General features: G+C 42.7%; 1 protein-coding gene across 3 annotated transcripts in view; it reads right to left on the bottom strand.

The window, feature by feature from the left end:
* The window catches only part of DNAJC16 (DnaJ heat shock protein family (Hsp40) member C16), a 44,886-nt gene that overhangs the window by 4,318 nt on the left and 16,705 nt on the right, over positions 1–23,863 (bottom strand). For 2 of the 3 annotated variants that reach the window (NM_015291.4, NM_001287811.2), the window contains 10 exons: positions 22,833–23,017; positions 20,545–20,649; positions 18,988–19,146; positions 7,760–7,890; positions 5,091–5,274; positions 3,305–3,487; positions 3,057–3,133; positions 1,417–1,497; positions 1,236–1,334; positions 147–317 (listed from right to left, as the gene is read on the bottom strand). In NM_015291.4, the coding sequence (NP_056106.1) occupies positions 147–317; positions 1,236–1,334; positions 1,417–1,497; positions 3,057–3,133; positions 3,305–3,487; positions 5,091–5,274; positions 7,760–7,890; positions 18,988–19,146; positions 20,545–20,649; positions 22,833–23,017 (1,375 nt within the window). Of the gene's footprint in view, positions 1–146; positions 318–1,005; positions 1,335–1,416; positions 1,498–3,056; positions 3,134–3,304; positions 3,488–5,090; positions 5,275–7,759; positions 7,891–18,987; positions 19,147–20,544; positions 20,650–22,832; positions 23,018–23,863 lie in introns of all 3 variants that reach the window. The other variant, NR_109898.2, reaches the window with a different exon arrangement.

The raw sequence follows: 23,863 nt of genomic DNA, 5'->3' as shown, positions 1-23,863 counted from the left end.
CAGATGTCTGGATTGGAAAGGTCACAGCCAGCATCTTGCTGTATGGATGAAGCCCCACAAGACCAAAGAGAAAAGCGTGCAATTTCAGTGTGCCTGCCTCTCTCTCTCTCACACACATACATACATGCACACACACACATGCTTACCCAGTAAATGTGTAGACCTCCAAAGCAAATTTCTGTAGTAGGCTGGTCTTGGTAGAATTCGACAGGATGAGGACCACATTCATGTGGCCTGGCCTCAGACGTACCAAGTTACTGGTGTATGTTACATCTGTGAGTTCAGTTACCTCCACAAAGCCTTTTTTAGGAATCTTGCTGTGGAGAAATATTGAGGAGTTAAGATGCTGTCAGGATAGGGGGAAAGCCGTTACTTTGAAAAGAAACAGCTGAAAGAAAATGCTATGTTCTAACCAGACTAGGTATGTTATTCACTATTCTTGAGTCTAACACATTGGTAGGATGGGGATGGCCTGACTTGGTAATCCCTGACCTACAAACAGCCTTTCTGTGCTGCTTTTCTTTTTCTTTTTGAGATAGGTTCTTGCTCTGTTTTCCAGGCTTGAGTGCAGCGACATGATCATGGCTCACTGCAGCCTCGACCTCCTGGGCTCAAGTGATCCTCCTACCTCAGCCTCCCAAGTAGCTGGGACTACAGGTGCCTGCCACCACATCCAGCTAATTTTATAAGTTTTTTGTAGAGACAGGGTCTTGCCATGTTGCCTAAGCTAGTCTCAAACCCTGGGCTCAAGCAATCCTCCCACCTAGGCCTCCTAAAAGTCTTGGGATTACAGGCGTGAGCCACTGTGCCCTGCTTGATGCTGCTTTTCAGGTGCAGAAGTTGCTCTAGGACAGAATGAAGAAGACAACTATCATTCAGTCTATGTTCTTTGTCTCGGAGACCCTGGCCTCTTGCTGCTGGGTGTGTGTGCGCACAAGACTGGTTACGTTCATTGACATTTACAGGGATAAACCACGTCCTGCTTCTGGCTCACCTAACACTTGCCTGATAGGCTTCTTTCCTTCTGCCTTCATTATGAAATCTAAGGCATCTAAACACCTACAGGGTCTTAGTAAACACAAATCACAGTGACTTTTCCCTGTAGCCACAGTTTACATGGGAGGAGGTGCATGAGAGTTCTTCTCTACACTCTATGTTCCAATGCTGCGTTATCAGATGACAGGATCTGGGGGGCAGGTGCCGGGGAGGTGAGTCTGGTGTTTTGTTAGAGAAACCTGCTGTTTTCTTTGGTGAAGCTTGGCTCAGTTTTCCCAGTCTTCTCTTGGGCTTCCTCTTTTTCTGGAGGGCTTGACTCTCGCTCATCATTAGAGTCGCTAAAGTAAGAAAAAAGGAGTTTTACAAAAAAAGTGTCAACACCAACCATGGTGGTGCACCGAGAAGCCACAGGACATTTACCTGAAAGCCTGAACGATGACAGTGCCGAAGAGGATGAAGAGGGCAGAGAAGATCAGGGACAGCAGGGGCATCATTTCCCTCCTAAAACCAAATTAACAAACTATTAGCTCAAGTTAAAATTTCTTCTCTCCAGCTAAAAAAAGATAAAATAAAAATCCCAAACCAAAAACTCTTCACACCAATAAACGCTTACTAATTTCAGGCAAACAGAGCTTTTCTTGGCGGGTGGAGGTGGTGGAGGGGAAGGTAGAGATTGCTCAGTGTTCTAATTCACAGACAGCTTATTCTAAAAGTTTGATTTTGTATCTCAGTATAATAGGCTATGCTCAATAAGTTCTGCATGAGGAAACAATAAAAGGGATAATAAAGGACTTAAGGTGTAAACATGGAAGAATTTTCTGACATTGTGGAATTATTTCCTCAACTTTACTGATTTTTTTCTGGCCAGAAAAATTCAGATGTAGCCCAGAGGGGTGGAGTAGGGAGATAAAATTGATCTTTCAAGATTTCATCTAGGACTGGTGTTCTGAAATTTTATGTACCTACCAACACCCATCAAAGGCTGTCATTTGTCAGGTGCTGTGTTGGGTGCCAGGAATCACAAACACGAATGAGATGTGGTTCTGTCCTTCAGGGGCTCATGGTCTCATCAGTAGGTGGGAGTGGGTATCCCTCTTGAGGTTAATTCACTCATTCCTTTTACATCTATACACTGGACTCCACGTGTGTCAGGCCCTGTGCTGGGCACCAGAGGTTCCCTGATGAAGAGACAGTCCCAGGCTCTGCTGCCCAGAATGGCAGCCATGGGTGATCCTTTCCTAGCCAGTGGGAAAGGGTCAGTCAGCCAATATAAAAAAAGGGAAGTGGCCGGGCATGGTGGCACACGCCTGTAATCCCAGCACTTTGGGAGGCTGAGGTGGGTGGATCACCTGAGGTCAGGAGTTCGAGACCAGCCTTACCAACATGGTGAAACACTGTCTCTACTAAACATACAAAAATTAGCTGGGCATGGTGGTGGGTGCCTGTAATCTCAGCTTCTCGGGAGGCTGAGACAGGAGAATCGCTTGAACCTGGGAGGCAGAGGTTGCAGTGAGCTGAGATCGTGCCACTGCATTCCAGTCTGAGTGACAGAGTGAGACTCTGTCTCAAAAAAAAATAAAAAATAAAAAATGTCCGGGAGCAGTGGTTCACACCTGTAAGCCCAGCACTTTGGGAGGCCGAGGCGGGTGGATCACCTGAGGTCAGGAGTTTGAGACCAGCCTGACCAACATGGTGAAACCCTATCTCTACTAAAAATACAAAAATTAGCCAGGCATGGTGACAGGTGCCTGTAATCCCAGCTACTCAGGAGGCTGAGGCAGGAGAATTGCTTGAACCTGGGAGGCGGAGGTTGCAGTGATCCCCAGATTGAGCCTGGGGGACAAGAGCAAGACTTTGTCTCAAAAAAAAAAAAAGTAAAAAATAAAAAAAAGGGAAGTTACTGAAAGAAAGAAAAAGGGGAATAGAAAATGTGTAAACGTTCTTCCACTTGCCCCATCAAGTGTACCTTGAAATTTAATAATGATGAACTCTTTTCAAAAGAAAAACAGTGATATCAGTATTAACAGAGAAAAAGAAATTCAGCCTGGCAATATCCCTACCAGTTGTTGTGAAAAATGCTATCCCAGCAGTCTGAGATGTAGTCAGAAGCAGAGTAGAACCATCGAAGGAGAAAAACCTATGTAGAGAGAAAATGGATGATGGTCAGGACTAAAGCCGGAAGGGAGAGTCCCTCTACCCTGCAACACAGTGCTGCTGCTGGACCTCTGCTCTGAGCAGAAATCCGCCACCAGCACTGTGTACTCACAAGCCCTCCTGGTGTCCCACCCTTCCCAGCCCCGATGCTCACAGGGGCAAGTTCATCGGTCAGGTCAGGAAGCACTGCTTCAGAGGACAGAAGAGCTGGATCTTTACGCAGCTGGTCGAGATAGCCCAAGAGGATAAATTTGTCACTCTCACTCCCAATCCAAGGGTCTTCCAGGGTTTTATACACCACCCTTCCTGCTGTGTTGCGCCTTTCTAAAATAGACACCTGGAAGAAAAGTAGAGAAAAAACATCAGAAGTTTCAAAAGCATGGTTAAGTTACAGTTGTTTGCTTTTTTTTTTTTTTTTGACGGAGTCTTGCTTTGTCGCCCAGGCTGGAGTGCAGTGGCGTGATCTTGGCTCACTGCAAGCTCCGCCTCCCGGGTTCACGCCATTCTCCTGGCTCAGCCTTCCCAAGTGGCTGGGACTAGAGGCACCTGCCACCATGCCTGGCTAATTTTTGGTATTTTTTTTTTTTTTTTTTTTTTTTTTTAGTAGAGATGGGGTTTCACCATGCTAGCCAGGATGGTCTCGATCTCCTGACCTCGTGATCTGCCTGCCTTGGCCTCCCAAAGTGCTGGGATTACAGCTGTGAGCCACCACACTTGGCCCAGTTGTTTGTTTTTTGAGACAGAGTTTCGCCCTTGTCTCCCAGGCTGGAGTGCAATGGTGCGATCTTGGCTCACTGCAACCTCTGCCTCCCAGGTTCAAGCAATTCTCGTGCCTCAGCCTGCTGAGTAGTTGGGACTACAGACAGGTGTGCACCACACCAGCTAATTTTTGTATTTTTAGTAGAGATGAGGTTTCACCATGTTGATTAGGCTGGTCTCAAACTCCTAGCCTCAAGTGATCCACCCGCCTCGGCCTCCCAAAGTGCTGGGATTATAGGTGTGAGCCACCGCGTTCGGCCTAAGAAATAACTTTTATGGTGACTTTCCTAAGCTTTTGTTAAAAGTTAAAGCTCTTTTTTCTCAATAGACTTTGCTCTATAACCTTGACTTAATATTAATGGAAACCTTTGTTTTTTAGAGAGATTTTCCATGATTGCGAAAATGATGAAAAGTCAGAGGAGAATTTCTTGTTTCTGTAGGAAGTGATGACAATGCAGGAGAAAGGCAGGAGAGATCAACCAGGATGAAGTTAAAGAGGCAGAGGGGGGCAGAAATTTCCAGAGCACATTACCAGTGGCCTAAGGATTTGTAAAATCTAGGATCTAGGATGCTGCAAGACCAGACTTGCCTTAGTAAAAAACTGGTGAAAAGCACTGATGACCTTTACCGTTCACTGATAGAAAACATGGTTTCTGTGGGGGCCTGAGGCTGACATCCAGAATGTAAAAAGACCAGGTCAAAAACTGTTTTAAGAGTAGGCTTTAGGCCAGGAGCAGTGGCTCATGCCTGTAATCCCAGCACTTTGGGAGGCGGGAGGATTGCCTGAGCTCGGGAGTTTGAGACCAACCTGGGCAACATGTCGAAACCCTATCTCTACAAAAAAATACAAAAAATTAGCCAGGCGTGGTTGTGTGTGCCTGTGGTCCCAGCTATGTGGGAGGCTGAGGTGGGAGGATCACTTGAGCCTGGGAGGTCGAGGCTGTAATGAGCTGAGATCATGTCACTGCACTCCCAGCCTGGGAGACAGAGTGAGACCCTGTCTCAAAAGAAAAAAAAAAAAATCAAGAAAAAGGAAAAACAAAAGAGTAGACTTTGAAAATAGGCTTCAGAGTTTCAGATTTCCTAGAATCTGTATTCAACACTCTCAAGGAAGAAGGAAACAGAATCAAGTGCCACATGGTTATGAAGAGCCTGGGATGAGGAGAGACTCTGTGGCTTACCGCTGATTTCCCTTGAAACGCCTCACTGTCTGGTAGTAAGGTGTCGGCAAACTCCTGCTGCCGATTGCTGTAGACATGCACAAATCTCACTGTGTCTTGAGTGTTTGCCAGGGCAAAGGACAGGAAAGCCTCAAAGGGTTTGCTCAACTTGGTAGTCTCAGCAGTCAATAAAACCACACAGTACCTGCACAACAAAAAGACAAAACTTTATAACCAATCCCTGATGGCAGGGCCAGCACCTATAATGGCAAGTGAAGGTGAAGAAGACGAGGAGCTCATCTTATGGAAGTGAATACACTGTGCCCAGTGAAAGCTGACATTTCAACTAAGGGAGGATTTCCAAGTCATTAACAAACTGTTTCTCTTCCCAATCTGTGATGTTTTTCCCAAACCAAACTTCTTTACCACATTTACGAATTTTAAAATTTTATATATATGAAATTTTATATATATGAAAACTATATATATATAGTTTTGTTTATATTGCCCAGGCTGGTCTTGAACTCCTGGCCTCAGACAATCCTCCTACCTCAGGCTCCCAAAGTGTTGGGATTACTGGCATGAGCCATCGTGCCTGCCAGGAATTTAAGGGGTTGGTCACTGAATCTCTGATGCAGCAGGGCCTTTCATTTTATTTTTTGAGATGGAGTCTTGCTCTGTCGCCCAGGCTGGAGAGTGTAGTGGTGTGATCTCGGCTCACTGTAACTCCGCCTCCTGAGTTCAAACCATTCTCCTGCCTCAGCCTCCCAAGTAGCTGGGATTATAGGCGTGCACCACCTCACCCAACTAGTTTTTGTATTTTTAGTAGAGACGGGTTTTCACTATGTTGGCCAGGCTGGTCTCAAACTCCTGACCTCAAGTGATCCGCCTGCCTCAGCCCCCCAAAGTGCTGGGATTATAGGCGTGAGCCACTGTTCCTGGCCGGCAGGGCCTTTTAGAAACTATTTGTCCTAGTTCTTCCAGTATAGGGAGGGCTGGTCAAATCTCTCTCAGGCCAGAGGCCACTGAGCCTCATTCTGAACGGCTTCCTTTGCAAGGTTCCAATGGAAAGTTTAGCTATTCATTCTCCCAAAAATATTTACTGAGCACTTAGTATATGTCAGGTAATATAGACAATATTATTGCCCTCATGGAGCTTATATTCCAGTGGGGAAGACAGAAAACAGATATATTATGACAGGTATCAACAAGTGCTATATATTAAAAAAAAAAAAAAAGATGAAAAGGGGACAGAGAGAGGCCAGAGTGGGTAGAAGCCAGGCTCCATCAGACAGGTTGGTCAGGGAAGTGCCAACTGAAAAGGTGACATTGTTATGACAGGAAATGGGGTCAGAGCATCCCAGGTAGAGAGACTACAAGTGCAAAGACCCCAGGATGGGGAGTGACTGGATCTGATTTGCATTTTCAAACATTATTGGCTGACGTGTGGACATCTGCCTGGAGGGTACAAGAGTGGAATGGAGCAGAGAGACTAGTTAGAAGGCTGCCAGGGGGGTCTCGCTGGGAGACGATGGTGGCTTGTTCCAGGGTGGCAGTGGTTAAAAAAAGTGAGAAGTGTGTGGATTTGGGATATTTTTTGAAGGCTGTGTAAACAACAATCCTTACAGTCCAGGATATTCTTTTTTTATATTTAAGTCATTTTTTTCTTCGCTCTTAAGACTATAAAGGAATCTGAAAAGCCTAGACACACAGGGAAATTATGTTTTATATTTTCAAGTTACATGATTGATATGTTTTCCTTCCATATCCAGATACCTTTTACAGATGAAACAGCCCTAAATTTAAAGCTACTGATTCATTCACCTGAGAAGGTGTAATGAATACATTCCCTGAATTTCTAGACTTTTTAGATACTTTGTATAATAACTCTTCCTACTTTATTGAATACATGTAACTTAGCCTTCCCGATTCCCACCAATCCATTTCCTCAATACTCTGTACTTCCCTACTGTTTAATTGTTATCCTTGCTCCTTCCCAAGACCTCCAAAGACTCACCCTGTGTGGAATGCTTTAGTAGGGACAGTCACTCTTCCATATTCTGTGCTTCTGTAAAGTGACCCAGTCTATCCCAGACGCCTGGCTAAACTGTGCTCATCCTTCAGGTCTCAGCTGAAATGTTACATCTTAGGGAAATCTTCTCTGACCACTAGGACAGGCTGGCACATCTGACAATTTGGTGCTAAAGTGCCCTGGACTAATACATCATATTAGTATGATTACCATCACAGTCACTAATCAGTGTTTTTTTTTTTTTTTTTTTTGAGACAGAGTTTCACTCTTGTTGCCCAGGCTGGAGTGCAATGGCATGATCTCGGCTCACCGCAACCTCTGCCTCCCAGGTTCAAGTGATTCTCCTGCCTCAGCCTCCCTAGTAGCTGGGATTACAGGCATAAGCCACCATGCCCGGCTAATTTTGTATTTTTAGTAGAGATGGGGTTTCTCCATGTTGGTCAGGCTGGTCTTGAACTCCGGACCTCAGATGATCCGCCCTCCTCGGCCTCCCAAAGTGCTGGGATTACAGGCATGAGCCACCATGCCCGGCCCAGTATTTGTTAAATGAAGAATAAGTTCTCAATGTTACAGGGCAGATGTCTAGTCACCCTATAGTAAAATGAATCATGATCCTTCTATTGTAATAACAAGCAGAGGCAAAGCCTTAAGTCCTTACTTCCTCTGTCGATGCGACCGTTTCACAGGGCAGAGTTCATGGAACAACTTCTGGCTGGTGAGCCTGGCTGCCAATAGATATTTGTTTCGGGTGATGAAGTCGTCAATGATTTGCTTCTTCATACCTCGGGCCTAGAGAAAAACCAAGAATCAGCTAGATTTTATGCAGTGTTCTCAATGCAAATAGATGGGCTTTCTTTACTTACCAGCTTAATAAAAACGTAGCTGACCTTGGCTAAAGTAATATAACCAAACAAGACAGACCTGTTTGAGCGAATAAACATGTGGTGATCTATTTCAGCAATGCAGGGCTGAAAGCAATGATGCAGCTATTTCGGGTCAAAGGGAAAATCAAGTACACTTTCCACTGGAGAATTTTTATTCACTGTTTTATGCTGACAAATTAAAAAAGTCAGTCATGGCCGGACGTGGTGGCTCACATCTGAAATCCTAGAACTTTGGGAGGCTGAGGTGGGTAGATCACGAGGTCAGGAGTTTGAGACCAGCCTGGCCAACATAGTGAAACCCCGTCTCTGCTAAAAATACAGAAATTAGCCAGGCATGGTGACGTGTGTCTGTAGTCCCAGCTACTTGGAAGGCTGAGGCAAGAGAATCAGTTGAACCTGGGAGACGGAGGTTGCAGTGAGCCGAGATCACGCCACTGCACTTTAGCCTGGGCGACAGAGCGAGACTCCATCTCAAAAACAAAACAAAACCAAACACAAAACAAAACAAAAACCCAAAACGAAAAGTCAATCATTTTGAATTTTAGGCAAAATTATTTCCATTCAGGATTTGTAGCGAACTGGGCAATTAAAAATAAATCCCAAAGCAACAATGTTGCAAAGTATAAAAGGCAGGTTACAAAACCGTGTGACCATTTTATTGCTAACTTTCACACATTTCAAAGGATTGAAATCATTGACAGCAGGTATTCTGACCACAAGGTAATTAACCTAGAATTCCATTTAAAATGCAAACCAGAAATGTAAACATTTCCCTTTATGTTTGGAAATTAAGAAACACGGCCAGGTATGGAGGCTCATTCCTCTAACCCAAATGCTTTGGGAGGCCAAGGCAAGAGGATCCCTTGAACCCAAGAGTTAGAGACCAGCCTGTGCAACATGGAGAGATCCCATCTCTACAAAAAATTAAAAACAAACAAACAAAAGGCCAGGCACAGTGGCTCACTCCTATAATCCCCGAACTTTGGGAGGCCGAAGCAGGAGGATTGCTTGAGCTTAGAAGATCGAGACCAGCCTGGGCAACATAATGAGATCTTGTCTCTACTAAAAATAAAAAAACATTAGCCAGGCATGATGGTGGTGCATGCCTGCAATCCCAGCTACCTGGGAGGTGGAGGTGGGAGGACTGCTTGAGCCCAAGACTTAAGAGACTGCAGTGAGCTAGGATCACACCACTGGACTCTAGCCTGTGTGACAGACTGAGACCCTGTCTCAAGAAAAAAAAAAAAAAAAAAAAAAAAGGGCTGGGTATGGTGGCTCATGCCTGTAATCCCAGCACTTTGGGAAGTCAAGGCAGGTGGATCACTTGAGGTCAGGAGTTCAAGACCAGCCTGTGCAACATAGTGAAACCCTGTCTCTACTAAAAGTACAAAAATTAGCCAGGCGTGGCCTTAGTCCCAGCTACTCAGGAGGCTGAGGCAGGAGGACTGCTTGAGGCTGGGAGAGCATACCAGCCTGGGCAACGGGAGTGAAACCCTGTCTCATAAAAGAAAAAAAAGGAAAAAAAAAGTTGTTAGCTGGGCATGGTGGCATGTGCCTGTAGTCCCAGCTACTTGGGAGGTTGAAGGGTGAGGATCACTTGAGCATAGGAGGCCAAGGCTGCAGTGAGCCATGATGACATCACTACACTCCAGCCTGGGTGACAGAGCAAGACTGACTAAAAAAGAAAAAAAAAAAACCAAAACAAGAACGCCTATCAGATATTAGAAAATATTTTGAACTTTAATGACTGATGAAAAATACTATTTATAAGAACTCTGAGATACATATAAAGTAGTACTTGAAGGGGAATTTTACAATTAACATAATAGAAAAGAAGTTAATGAAATAAACATCTGTCAAGTCAAAAACAGCAAAAATATAAAAGTAGAAAGGAAATAATACAGATAAAAATAGAAATTAATGAAACAAGAAATGAATATATTAATATAAGAAGAAGAATTAACAAAGACAAAACTGGTTCTTTGAAAAAGCTAATACAATCGACAAGCCTCTGGTAAAACCAACCATGAAAACAAAAGAGAAGGCATAAAATAATCATTCTCAAAGATGACAAGAAGGAATCACTACCTACAATGCAGAAGTTAAAACAGAAAACCTAAATAATCAGTAGTCAAAAATCTTTCCTTAAAGCGAAACCCAGAAACCCAAGCTCAAGGCCCAAATGGCATTACAGATGCTTTCAATCAAACTTTCAAGGAAGACAATCTCACATAAAGTCTTCCTGAGAAGAGAAAAAGCAACACATGGGTATCACGATAAGGAAAAGTTAGAAGTCAATCTCATTTCTGAACATGAATGTCAAAGTCCTAAGCAAAATGTTAGCAAATGGAATCCAGCAATATATTGAAAGCATAATAGAAATCATAATCTTGTTGGATTTATTTCATGAGTGCAAGTTAGGTTTAACATTAGAGAATGAATTAATATGAGTTAGCACAATATAGATTAAAGAAGAAAAATCAGAATAATCTAATGGATGTAGAAAAAGTATTTGATAAAAATCATACCAATTGTGGTTAGAACTTTTAGTCAACAAGGAGTAGAAGGACCTTCTTTAACCTGATAAAGGGTATCCACATTTTAAAAGCCTTCTGCAAACACACTTATTGGGGAAATGCTGAAAGCCTTCCCTCTCTTTGAAATCAAGAACAAGGACAGCCCCCGATTACTACACTTCTATTCCACATCATGTCAGCTGTCAGGAGTAATGTCAGAAAAAGAAATAAAATGAGGGCTGGAAAAAAAAAGAAGTAAAATTGTCATTAATCTCAGATGATATGATTACATAGTTAGCTGATCTAAAAGATGGTACAGATAAATTATTTAAGTTAATAGAAGAGTTTAGCAAGGTTGCTGGATGATACAAAGTTTTTGTTTCAAAATCAAGGCTGGGCGCGGTGGCTCACGCCTATAATCCCAGCACAGTGGGAGGCCGAGGCGGGCAGATCACCTGAGACCAGCCTGGCCAACATGGCGAAACCCCTCCTCGACTAAAAAATACAAAAATTAGCGGGGCATTGCGGTGCATGCCTGTAATCCCAGCTACTCAGGAGGCTGAGAGGCAGGAGAATTACTTGAACCCGGGAGTTGGAGGTTGCAGTGAGCCGAGATCAGGCCATTGCACTCCAGCCTGGGCGACAGAGCAAGACTCCGTCTTAAAACAAAACAAAACAAAACAAAACAAAACAACCAACAACTGTATTACTTATACCAGCAAACAGAAAAAACAACAAAAAGATACTGTCTTCATTCTTTTTTCCAAAATTAAAAAAAAAAAAAAAAAAGATAAAGTCTCACTGTGTTGCCCAGGCTGGTCTTGAACTCCTGAGCTCAAGTGGTCCTCCCACCTCAGCCTCCAAAAGTGCTAGGGTGAGCCACTGCACCCGGCTCCCTTTACATTCTTTTTTTTTTTTTTTTTGAGATGGAGTTTCGCTCTTGTTGCCCAGGCTGAAGTGCAATGGCACGATCGTGGCTCATCACAACCTCCGCCTCCTGGGTTCAAGTGATTCTCCTGCCTCAGCCTCCTGAGTAGCTGGGATTATAGGCATGCAACACCACGCCCGGCTAATTTTGTATTTTTAGTAGAGACGGGGTTTCTCCATGTTGGTCAGGCTGGTCTCGAACTCCTGACCTCAAACTCCTGATCCACCCGACTTGGCCTCCCAAAGTGCTAGGATTACAGGCATGAGCCACCACACCTGGCCTTACCTTTTTTTTTTTTTTTTTTTGAGACGGAGTCTCACTCTGTCGCCCAGGCTGGAGTGCAGTGGTGTGATCTTGGCTCACTGCAACTTCTGCCTCCTGGGTTCAAGCAATTCTCTGCCTCAGCCTTCTAAGGAGCTAGGATTACAGGCATCTACCACCGCGCCCAGGTAATTTTTGTATTTTTAGTAGAGACGGGGTTTCACCATGTTGGCCAGGCTGGTCTCGAACTCCTGACCTGGTGATCCACCCGCCTCAGCCTCCCAAAATGCTGGGATTACAGGCGTGAGCCACCGCACCCGGCCTCTTTTTTTTTTTTTTTGAGATGGAGTCTTGCTCTGTAGCCAGGCTGGAGTGCAGTGGCACAATCTTGGCTCACTGCAACCTCCGCCTCCTGAGTTCAAGCAGTTCTCCTGTCTCAGCCTCCAGAGTAGCTGGGACTACAGGAGCATGCTGCCACACCTGGCTTTTTTTTTTCTTTTTTTTTGTATTTTAGTAGAGACGGGGTTTTACCACGTTGCCCAGGCTGATCTTGAACTCCTGGTCTCAGGCAATCCACCTGCCTCGGCCTCCAAAAGTACGAGGATTACAGGTGTGAGCCACCGCGCCTGGCCTACATTCTTTTTTAAAAAAATTTTTTCTGCAGCATAAACTATCAAACAAAAAAAAAAAAAGCTTTTTAATAGGATAAAAAATAGGAGGCACCTAGAAATAAGTTGAAAAAAATGTTCTTTCCAGAGAAAATTATAAAATTTATGAAGACATATTACAGAAGACCTAAACAAATGAAACAGATATATCATGTTCAAAGGTTGGAAGGCCCAATTTTCTAAGGATAGAATCACTTTAAGACATACTTCCCCTATATCAAGATCATGAAGGTATTCTTCTCAGAGCTTCTAAAAGCCGTATAGCTTTGCCTTTTATACGATCTCTATCCTCCCCAAACCGACTTAACAATCAGTATAAACCCAATAAGACACCAGTAAGTTTTTTGGGTTGGTTTGTTTTGATGGAAGTTGACAGAATTTAAAATGTATACAAAAAGTACAAAAGACCAATATATACAAAAAGTACAAAAGACCAACAGCTATAATGCTTTTGAAGGAAAAAAAACCTTTCCCCAAATCTAAAAAACAAAGTGAGGAGATTTGTTCTATCAGATATCAAGACTATTCCAAATGATTTTAAATACTTAAATATAAAAGGCAAAGCTATACAGCTTTTAGAAGCTCTATGAGAAGAATACCTTCATGATTTTTGATGTAGGGGAAGTATATCTTAAATAGAAACAAGGAAGAACCAATCACAAAGGAAAATATTGATATGAGTGAATATACTAAAAGAATTTATGTTCATCAAAAAGACATCAAATACAATAATATATTCATGGCATCATTATTCAAATAACCAAAAACTGGAAAAACTCTGTCAACAATAGAATGGACTGGACAAACACACCATAGTCTATTCCTATCATGCAATTTTCTTTCTTTTTTTTTTTTGAGACAGGGTCTTGCTCTGTTGCTCAGGTTGTAGTGCAGTGGCACGAACACAGCTCACTGCAGCCTTGACCTCCCGGGCTGAAGCAATTCTCCTGCCTCAGCCCTCCAAGTAGCTGGAACTTCAGGTGTGTACCACCACACCCAGCTAATTTTGTATTTTTTGTAGAGACAAGGTTTTGCCATGTTGCCCAGGCTGGTCTCGACCTCCTGGGCTCAAAGGATCTGCCCGTCTCGACCACCCAGAGTGCTGGCATTACAGGTGTGAGCCACTGTGCCTGGCCATGCAATTTTCAACAACAAGAATGAAGATAAAACTCCAAATAATGACATGTATGAATCTCAAAAACATAAGCTGAGAGAAACCAGATACAAGATATATACACTACATTATTCCATTTGGATAAAATCCAAAAATGCAAAGACGAATCTATGCTGTTAGAAAACAGGATAGTGCTGACCTTTGGGAAGGAGGTAAGTAGGTAGGGGGAGGGAGGGGCCTTCTGGGCTGATGACAATATTTTGTTTCTTGATCAAGTGAAGCTAACATGGATGTGTTCATTGTGTGAGAATTCACTGAGCTTCACACCTCTGACTTGTGCATCTTTCTGCATGTGTATTATATGTCAATAAATAATTTTAAAATGTGAGTATCATAAAAATAATAAAAACAGCCAGGTGCGGTGACTCACGTCTGTAATCCCAGCACTTTGGGAGGCCGAGATGGGTGGATCATCTGAGGTCAGGAGTTCGAGACCAGCCTGGCCAACATGGTGAAACCCCATCTCTACCAAAAATACAAAAATTAGCTGGGCGTGGTGGAGTGTGCCTACATCCCAGCTACTCAGGAGGCTGAGGCAGGAGAATCGCTTGAACCCGGGAGGCGGAGGTTGCAGTGAGCTGAGATCACACCACTGCACTCTAGCCTGGGCAACAAGAGTGAAACTCCATCTCAAAAAAACAAAACAAAACAAAAGACAAGCCACAGAATGGGTGAAGATATTTGCCACGGAGATAAACAAAAGACTATGAGAAAAAAACAGGAAAAAAAGAGATGAACATATAAATAACCCCTACAAATCAATTACAGAAAGGCAGATATCTAATTAAAAAATGGGTAAAAGACTTAATAGACAGGCCGGGCGCGGTGGCTCACACCTGTAATCCCAGCACTTTGGGAGGCGGAGGTGGGCGGATCATCTGAGGTCAGGCGCTCGAGACCAGCCTGGCCAACATGGTGAAACCCTGTCTCTATTAAAAATACAAAAAAATTAGCCAGGTGTGGTGGCTTGTGCCTGTAGTCCCAGCTACTCCGAAGGCTGAGGCACAAGAATCACTTGAACCCAGGAGGCGGAGGTTGCAGTGAGTCGAGATCTCACCACTGCACTCCAGCCTTAGAGACAGAGCAAGACTGTGTCTCCAAAAAAAAAAAAAATAAATAATAATAATAAAAAGACACATAACAGGTAGGCATATCATAATGAGGGCATCCAAAAGGTTCATATACAAATGAGAAGATGACTTCCTGTTGACAAGAATTTAAAAAAAAATTAAAAACAAAAAAATTAAAATAAAAAAAAGAAGAAATCTGTGTTCCTTGCACTTATAATGGATCTTTTACTCATGTATTATTTCATAATACCCTGCACTGGTCATCTGAATGCAGAGTATGTGAATATTGGTCCACTGATCTTCCAAACAGTAACTTTTTTTTTTTGAGATGAAGTCCCACTCTGTCGCCCAGGCTGGAGTGCAGTGGCGCGATCTTGGCTCACTGCAACCCCCGCCTCCCAGGTTCAAGTGATTCTTCTGCCTCCGCCTCCCGAATAGCTGGGACTACAGGTGCATGCCACCACGCCAGCTAATTTTTGTATTTTTTTTTAGTAGAAACAGGGTTTCACCATATTGGGCAGGCTGGTCTCGAACTCCTGACCTCATGATCCACCTGCCTCAGCCTCCCAAAGTACTGGGATTACAGGCTTGAGTCACCACGCCTGGCCAACATATTTTATTATACTTATTAAAAAAAGAACGGGCTGGGTGCAGTGGCTCACACCTGTAATCCCAGCACTTTGGGAGGCCCAGGCAGGAGGACCACTTGAGGCCAGGAGTTCAAGACCATCCTAGTCAACAAAGTGAGACCCTGTCTCTCAAACAAAAAAAATTTTTTTTTTTTTGAGACAGAGTCTCATTCTCACCCAGGCTGGAGTACAGTGAAACAATCTTGGCTCACTGCAACCTTTGCCTCCTGGGTTCAAGTGAATCTCCTGTCTCAGCCTCCCGGGTAGCTGGGATTACAGGTGCATGCCACCACACCCGGCTTTTTTGTATTTTTAGTAGAGACGGGGTTTCACCATGTTGGCCAGGCTGGTCTTGAACTCCTGAATTCAGATGATATGCCTGCCTCAGCAAAAAAAATTTTTTAAAAAAATTAGCCAGTGGTGCATGCCTGTAGTCTCAGCTGCTCGGGAGACTGAGGCAGAAGGATCACTTGAGCCCAGGAAGTCGGAACTGCAGTGAGCCGAGTCTGTGCCACTGCACTCCAGCCTGAGTGACAGAGTGAGATCCTCTAAAAAACAAAAACAAAAGCAAAAAAAAAAAAAACCACATCACTTTGATGAACCAATCTCATCAGAAAATTCTGAGAAGCTGTCATGATGGCCAGTACAAATTTTTCGAAATTCTAATGTTCTTGGAAGCCTGAATTTTATCACTGGCAATAAATACCACCAGTTGTTTGTTTTAAAGTGCCACATCACTTCATCTGTTTTAGAGAAAATGTCTGCCAAATTCCCGAGTCTAAATAACCATAGTTGTCTGTCATTCTTCCAAGTAAAAATGATATTCCATTAAGAAAAGTGGCAAGGTAAGCACTTGTCCTCAGGACATTTGTACTCTGTTGTGCAGCAGGACAGCTTTATGCACACTTCCCAGCTCATCACACAGAATATTAAATCCATCAAAAAGACATGCACTCAAGGGTTAAGGTTTAATAAAATTAACACTTCTTACTGCTTCATCAAAGATATAAGGTGAGGCCGGGCACGGAGGCTCACGCCTGTAATCCCACCACTTTGGGAGACTGAGGTGGGCGGATCACCTGAGGTCAGGAATTCAAGAACAGCCTGGCCAACATGGTGAAACCCCATCTCTACTAAAAATACAAAAATTAGCCGGGCATGGTGGCAGGTGCCTGTAATCCCAGCAACTCGGGAGGCTGAGGCAGAAGAATTGCCTGAACCCGGGAGGCGGAGGTTGCAGTGAGCCGAGATCATGCCATTGCACTCCAGCCTGGGCGACAGAGTGAGATTCTGTCTCCAAAAACAAAAGAAAACAAAATACATGAAGTGAATCTAGTGGTTTGTTTTTGCTGCGAGTGATTGGGGGTGAAGCACACAATGATGGTAGGTGGCCTGGTGCCCTGCCTGGATTCATGCACTGGCACTGGCAGCTTCACCCACTACTGCTTTGGTACTATCAGTGTAAATGTCAACACAGTGAAAAAGGCAAATCGTGTCTTGATATGATCTCACAGACTTTCTCTTGAAGGATCTTTGAGAATCCCCAGGAGTCTATCAACCACATTCTGAAAACTGCTGTCCTAGAGAACTCTGTACTTAGGTTATGATATTCATTGCAACACTATTCCTCAAAGCCCCCAATGTCCACCAACGGAAGAATGATTCAATAAATTATAATGGCCATAAATACCATATAGCAATGACAACAAATTACCTAGAGCAACAGGAAACCACTGGTGCTACTAGTGATCATTAAGCCACCTGCTGTTGTGAAAACTGAGTTTGTTAAGCATACACTTGATATCCACAAAGAGCAAGCTGGTAAAGCAGCCATTCTACCAATAATTTTGTAAATGTATTTGATTTACAATTTTCCCCAGTGGGATAAATAAATATAATTCTCAGAACTATAAACTGTTCCGAAAGACCAATTTAGGAAATCCTCATCCATTTACCCTGGATTGAGATTATCTTCTCTTTTCTATTCGGACACTGGTATTTGTTTTCTTCCTGACTTGCAGCACCTTCTCGTCTCCATCAGGCACCCCCTTGTCTTGTGTGCCGGTGGCTGTTCTGAGTTTTGTCCTTGGCCTCCTTGGCCTTACTTTACATACAGCAGTCATCCCCTAACTGCAGAGGATACGTTCCAAGACCCCCAGTAGGTGCCTGAAACCACATAGTACTGAACTCTATACAAACTATGTTTTTTTCCTATACACATACCTATGATAAAGTTTATCAATTAGGCACAGCAAGAGATTAACAACAACAATATTTAAATAGAACAATTCTAACAATATACTGTAATAAAGTGATGTGAACATGGTCCCCCTCGCTCAAAACATCTTTTTTTTTTTTTTTTTTTTTGAGACGGAGTCTTGCTCTGTCGCCCAGGCTGGAGTGCAGTGGGCGGCGTGATCTCAGCTCACTGCAAGCTCCGCCTCCTGGGTTCACGCCATTCTCCTGCCCCAGCCTCCCGAGTAGCTGGGACTACAGGGGCCCACCACCACGCCCGGCTAATTTTTTGTATTTTTAGTAGAGACGGGGTTTCACCACGTTGGCCAGGATGGTCTCAATCTCCTGACCTCGTGATCTGCCCGCCTCGGCCTCCCAAAGTGCTGGGATTACAGGCGTGAGCCACCACGCCCGGCTTCAAAATATCTTCTTGCACTGTAGTCACCTATGTTTTGGACCTGGTTGACTGTGGGTAACTGAAACCTCAGAAACTGAAAAAGGGGTAAGTGGGGTGGATCAGGGGAGACTACGGTATTATGCCGGGAAGATCTTACCCTACTCAGGACTTCAACCACTAACCATTTACTGATGATACACCAGTTTCTATCCCCAGCCTGTATGCTTTTCTTAAGATCTCGATTCCTATACCCAACTGTAGAAAGGACTTCTCCCCTTCTATTTCCTACAGGCAGCTCTAATTCAGTATGTCCACAGCCAAAGTTCTTATCTTTCTAAACCTGCTCTTCTTTCTTTACGGTCCACTTTCCCATCTGGTTTCCATGGTTTCAGGTACCCTTCTGTGTTCACAGGACACCTGAGCTGCCATTAGAGTGGACTGCCTCTAGCAAGATAGTACTTGTTTCTCTATACCCTCAACAGTACTATTTTAACTTAGAAAATCTTTGACAGTTGGATGGGTGAAAAAAGGTTAATGTTCTCTGATTACTTGTGAGATTTAATTTTTAAAAATGGTTATTAGTCTTCTCAGAATTTTATGATTTTCTTGATTAAAAGCTCTTTAGAAATTAAAAATATCAACATTTTAATATTTGTTATAAATATTCCCCCAGTTTTTTAACTTTACATTTTAAAGTATTTACATAAAAACATAAAATTTAGAGTCAAGTTATCAAGATTTTCCAAGATTTTTCCCCAATGCTTTTTAACCCTTTCCTACCTTAAGATCAGATAAATATTCATCTGTACATTCTCTCAGTTAGTTTGTGGCTTCTTCTTATTCCTTTTTATTACTGTTTTACATTTAACTTTTAAATTCATTTTGGAAAAAGATTGTTGGTTTTCCAACAGGAGCCCTTTAAAGGTGCTAAAATTTTTAAACGTTTTAAATTAAAAATTTTAAAGCAAACGGTACCAAGTTAGATAAAAAAATTCATTAAAAAATTTTGTGCATCTGAAGGAAGATCCTTTCCTTCAGCCACTTTGTTCAATTTTGCTGTTTATTTACATAAAATCTTGGGATAAAATGTGAAGAAAATCTTAACCAAGGTGACCCTCACGTACCTGGATAACATCGGCAGGCCTGTTTATATGTTCTTTAAAGACCAAGAGGGTAGGGGCGTAGATATTGATGTTGTACCGCCTTGTCATCTCTTCCGTCCCTCTCAAACCCACATATACATATCCAAATGATAAATAATCTTTGTATGCAAAGGCAGTCAACTGTTAGGGCATAATAGAGAGGAAGAAAATAAAACTACAGCAAAGATGTAAATGACAAATCAAGTAGGGCTTTTTCACATCACTGAGCAGAGAGGTACATGCCAGCTTACACAGCTCCACTAGGTCTTCCGTATCCTTGTATACTTCCATTCTATGGTGTTCCATGTGCAAAAACTGTACCAACAAAGTAAATACAAACAACTCTCTTCTTTTTCATAGCTAAAGCAAAATAACGATCTTCTTGAAATCTGTACTGGTCAGGAGGCATGAGTTTGGGGATTACCTGTACCGTAATTAGGTAAGATGGCAGTGACCATGCCACTGATAACACCTTCCTCTCCGTCTCATGTCACAGTGACATGAGAGGTAGTGGGGAGTGTAGGTAGGCTGGGAGTGTAGTGGGGGAATCATTCACAGGGCAGGTCTGAAGTCAGTGGGAATCGCGCTCACCATGCTGTAGTGAGAACTTGGGTGGGTTATATGACTGCTCTAAGCCTCAGTATCTTGCTCTATGCAAACAGGGATAGTGGCCAGGCGTGGTGGCTCATGCCTTTAATCCCAGCACTTTGGGAGGCCGAGGTGGGCGGATCACTTGAGGTCAGGAGTGCAAGACCAGCCTGGCCAACATGGTGAAACCCCATCTCCACTAAAACACAAAAATTAGCCGAGCGTGGTGGTGTGTGCCTGCAGTCCCAGCTACTCTGGAGGCAGAGGTGAAAGAATTGCTTGAACCCGGTAGGCGGAGGTTGCAGTGAGTCTAGATCACACCACTGCACTCCAGCATGGGCAACAGAGTGAGACTTGGTCTCCGAAAAAAAAAAAAAAGCCCATCACAGTGGCTCATGCCTGTAATCCCAGCAATTTGGGAGGCTGAGGCAGGTGGGTCACAAGGTCAGGAGTTCGAGAGCAGCCTGGCCAACATGGTGAAACCCTGTCTCTACTAAAAATAGAAACGTTAGCTGGGCATGGTAGCACGCACATGTAGTCCCAGCTACTTGGGAGGCTGAGGCAGAAGAATCGCTTGAACCTGGGAGATGGAGGCTGCAGTGAGCCGAGGAGATCGCGCCACTGCACTCCAGCCTGGGCGACAGAGCGAGACTCTGTCTCAAAAAAAAAAAAAAAAGAAACAGGGATAGTATCTCCATCACTGGGTTCTTCTGAGGATTACATGATATGTGCATAGAAAGCACTAACACAGTAACTGGCATTAATCAGTACTCAATGTATGATGGTTATGTAAAATTTCTGGTCTTCAAACATTTCTCATGGATGAAACTGTTTCTTACAAAAAAGACAAATAGGCTATAAGTTCCAACTCAGAGATTACTTTCTGCTAAAAAAAAAAAAAAAAAAAGAAAAGAAAAGAAAAAGAAACCATTATCCTAGCATAGAAAGTACCTTGTATAACAGTGGCACAATGGGCGTTTGGTCAAACAGAAGGACATGAGGCTTATTCTCTTGCTGCCAGCCAGAGAGGAATCTGACGTAATTTTTATTTGTAACCTTAAATTGAAAATAGAATGTTAGTCTCAATATTTAATTCTTAACAATTGTATTATACTCCAGTCAGGAGAAAATAAACAAATCAAGTAAGTGTAAAAGATTGCAAAAAATAAAAATGCAGATAACTAATCTTTTTGTCTTCATTTGGCTAAAGCTATTAAAAGAATGGTGATATTGATTTCATATTTTCATTGAACTCTTACAGACTGAAATCATAATCCTGTCTGAAACAATTACTGACCATATTATAAAAACTGAGCTTCCAGAGTTGGTTCTTGCTTAATTACAGAGTATACTTCTTAATATACTAGCCAGCAGAAAATAACACACAACTGCCCCTTTCAATATCTATCTATCTACCTATCTATCTATCTATCATCTATCTATCATGCCTCAGTCTCCCATCTATCTATCACACCTCAGTCTCCCAGCTTGCCCCTCACCCTTTTTTCTGAGACAGGGTCTTGCTTTGTTGCCCAGGCTAGAGTGCAGTGGCATGATCATGGCTCATTGCACCCTCAACCTCCCAAACCTCCCAGGATCAAGTGATCCTCCCACCTCAGCCTCCTGAATAGCTGGAGCTACAGGTACATGGCACCATGCCTGGCTAATGTTTGCATTTTTTGTAGAGATTGGGTCTCAGTATGTTGCCCAGGCTGGTCTTGAACTTATGGACTCAAGCGATGCTCACACCTCAGCCTCCTAAAGTGCTGGGATTACAGGTATGAGCCACCACTCCAGGCCAGCTTGCTCTTTTTAAACGGCGTAAATAAAAATAAGCTGGTCCACCCCCTCTATACATTATATAATTTCATTTATTGTTATCTGAATTGTTACTTTCCTCCACTGATATCTTAAAATATTCCTGAGAGAAATTAAAAACATGAATAAATTATCTAGCTAGAAATTTTTCTTAGTCGTTAAAAAAAGTTTATCTTTCCATACTGCATCTAGAATGATTTATATAAAACTCAAATTTGATCATTTCACTCTTCTGCTCAAACCCCTACAACGGCTCCATGTGGGCCAAGGCCCAAGTTCCTTAAAGGAGCGTGAAGGTGCTCTGAGGCCCTCACAGGGAGATTCCTAATAACCTCTCCATCCCCCTCCTCTGCTGCTCACCAGTGAAAACTTCTTACAAAGCGGGCTATTTCATGTCTCCAGATTTCTGCCTGCCTGCAACCCAACCTGGTCCAAGGGTCACTTCTGCCAGGAAGCCTTTCCCAACTCATTACGATGGGCTCCAACATACTGGAAATAACCACCCGCTTGGGAGCTGCTTGAAACGGCTATGTTAATCTATGCCGGGCACAGAAGAGATATTTTATGTAAATGTTTGAGGATCTATCAGGACAATCTATCACCATTTTAGAAGCCTCCAATATTCTCTGACAAACTTTTAAGTTAATTCCAACAAATATTTCTCCTATAGATAATGATCCCAGTAGGACAGTCTAGGAATAGCACATGTAGAAATACGATGAAAATTTTTTATGTTCACTTTCCCTGTATTCTTAAGAGAATGAATTATTTAAAGCAAAATGAGAGTCCGTTCCTAGTTACTTTGATCCCTAAATTAAGATATTGAAAAAAACATATTAGGTGCTTAAATATGGAAATAATAGACCAATGTGAACTTTATCTGGCTTCTCTATTTCAACCTTTTCTTTGTGAAATTCATTCATATTATTGTCACTGTAAGTTTCTGAAGTTTCAAAAATAATATTTGATTTCATGGAATCTGGCATTTTCCATAGATATGATCGTTAAACATATAACCAAATATAATTAAATTTGCATAAAGACAAATATCTTCACATGAACAAATTTATGAGCCAGAAAGAAATCCCTAATTCTTTCTAACATGTGATTTAATTTTTTTGTTTAGAAAATAGGCACTGTCATTTTAGGCTCAGATTCCTATGACAGTGTAAGTTCTGCAAGATGGGTATTAATAGGAATTAATTCTTTCAGTCTCTGTACTTCATCTGTTTCAATTATTAGTCTCCTACAGACTTCACTTAAACGATTTAGTTTGAGTAATTAATTAATTAATAAGTGTCATGCCTTCCTCACAATGAAACTCAGGTTTGAGAGGACTACAGAAAATGTTCTGGGCAATTAACAGTCCTAGGTACCTCTTAAACTACTTCTCAGCCATAGTTTCCTTGACAGATACTTACTTTCTCCACCAAGTTCCCTGGAAGAAGACTTTCTACAAATTGTCGCAGATTTTCACGGACAACTGCATTGTGGAAGAAGGAGATTTTCCCGTTAATGATTCCTAGGATAGAGGGCGTGCTGTGTGCCCCTAGGTGATGGGCCAGGCGTCTCTCATACCCAGCATGGACCACGCCAATTCCTACACCTGAAAAGAATGGAAGATCCAAATGAAGCCTTTTTATGTCTCCATGGCAGCTGGAAAAAGTGCTAAGTAATTTTTTGGTGTGAAATTGAAATCCCGACCTCATAGGAGATGTCTTTCCTAATAGACTGTCTAGCATTCTTTCACTGCTGGAATTCTAGATTGGTTCAGTTTTTCTGTAGAGCAATCTGGCAATATGTAAGAAGAGTTACAAATGTGTGTGTGTGTGTGTGTGTGTGTGTGTGTGTGTATGCATATACATAAAACAAAATGGGGTCATCTCATACTTATTTCACTTAATACTTGAACAACTTTTCTTGTTCTTTCATCCAACCATATATTTGGAGGGCCAGTTACTCTGCTAACACTGGAGACACATTCAATATTAAAGGCCGATAAATGTACATTTTCTTTTGGATGTCTACTAGACTTCTCAAGCTTAACATTTCCAAAAACGAACCCCTAATCTCCTCCCACAGACCTGTCCTACCCACGTCTTTGCCATTTCAGTTGATGACAGCTCCATCCTTCCAGTTACTCAGGGCAAAAACTGTAAGCGTCATCTTTGGCTTCTCTTATCTGTTGCACCCCACATCCAATCTGTCGGCAAGTCTTGTTGGTTTTCTCTTTAGAAAATGTCTGGAATTCAACTGTTTTTCATCACTTTCATTATATGCCCTGCTCTGAGTCATCATTATCTCTCCTGCCTATGTTGCTGCAATAATATCCTAAATGCTCTCCCCCTATTTCTCCCTGTCTCCTGACAGTCTGTTCTTAACATAGCAGCCAGGCTGCTCCTCCTAAAACATAAAAATGGATCACATCACTCCTCTGCCCAAACCCTGCAAA

The sequence above is a fragment of the Homo sapiens genome, chromosome 1 (assembly GCF_000001405.40).
Source record: "Homo sapiens chromosome 1, GRCh38.p14 Primary Assembly".
Lineage (NCBI taxonomy): Eukaryota > Metazoa > Chordata > Mammalia > Primates > Hominidae > Homo > Homo sapiens.
Note: the sequence above shows the minus strand (reverse complement) of the source record. Positions and strands in the feature narration are given on the sequence as shown.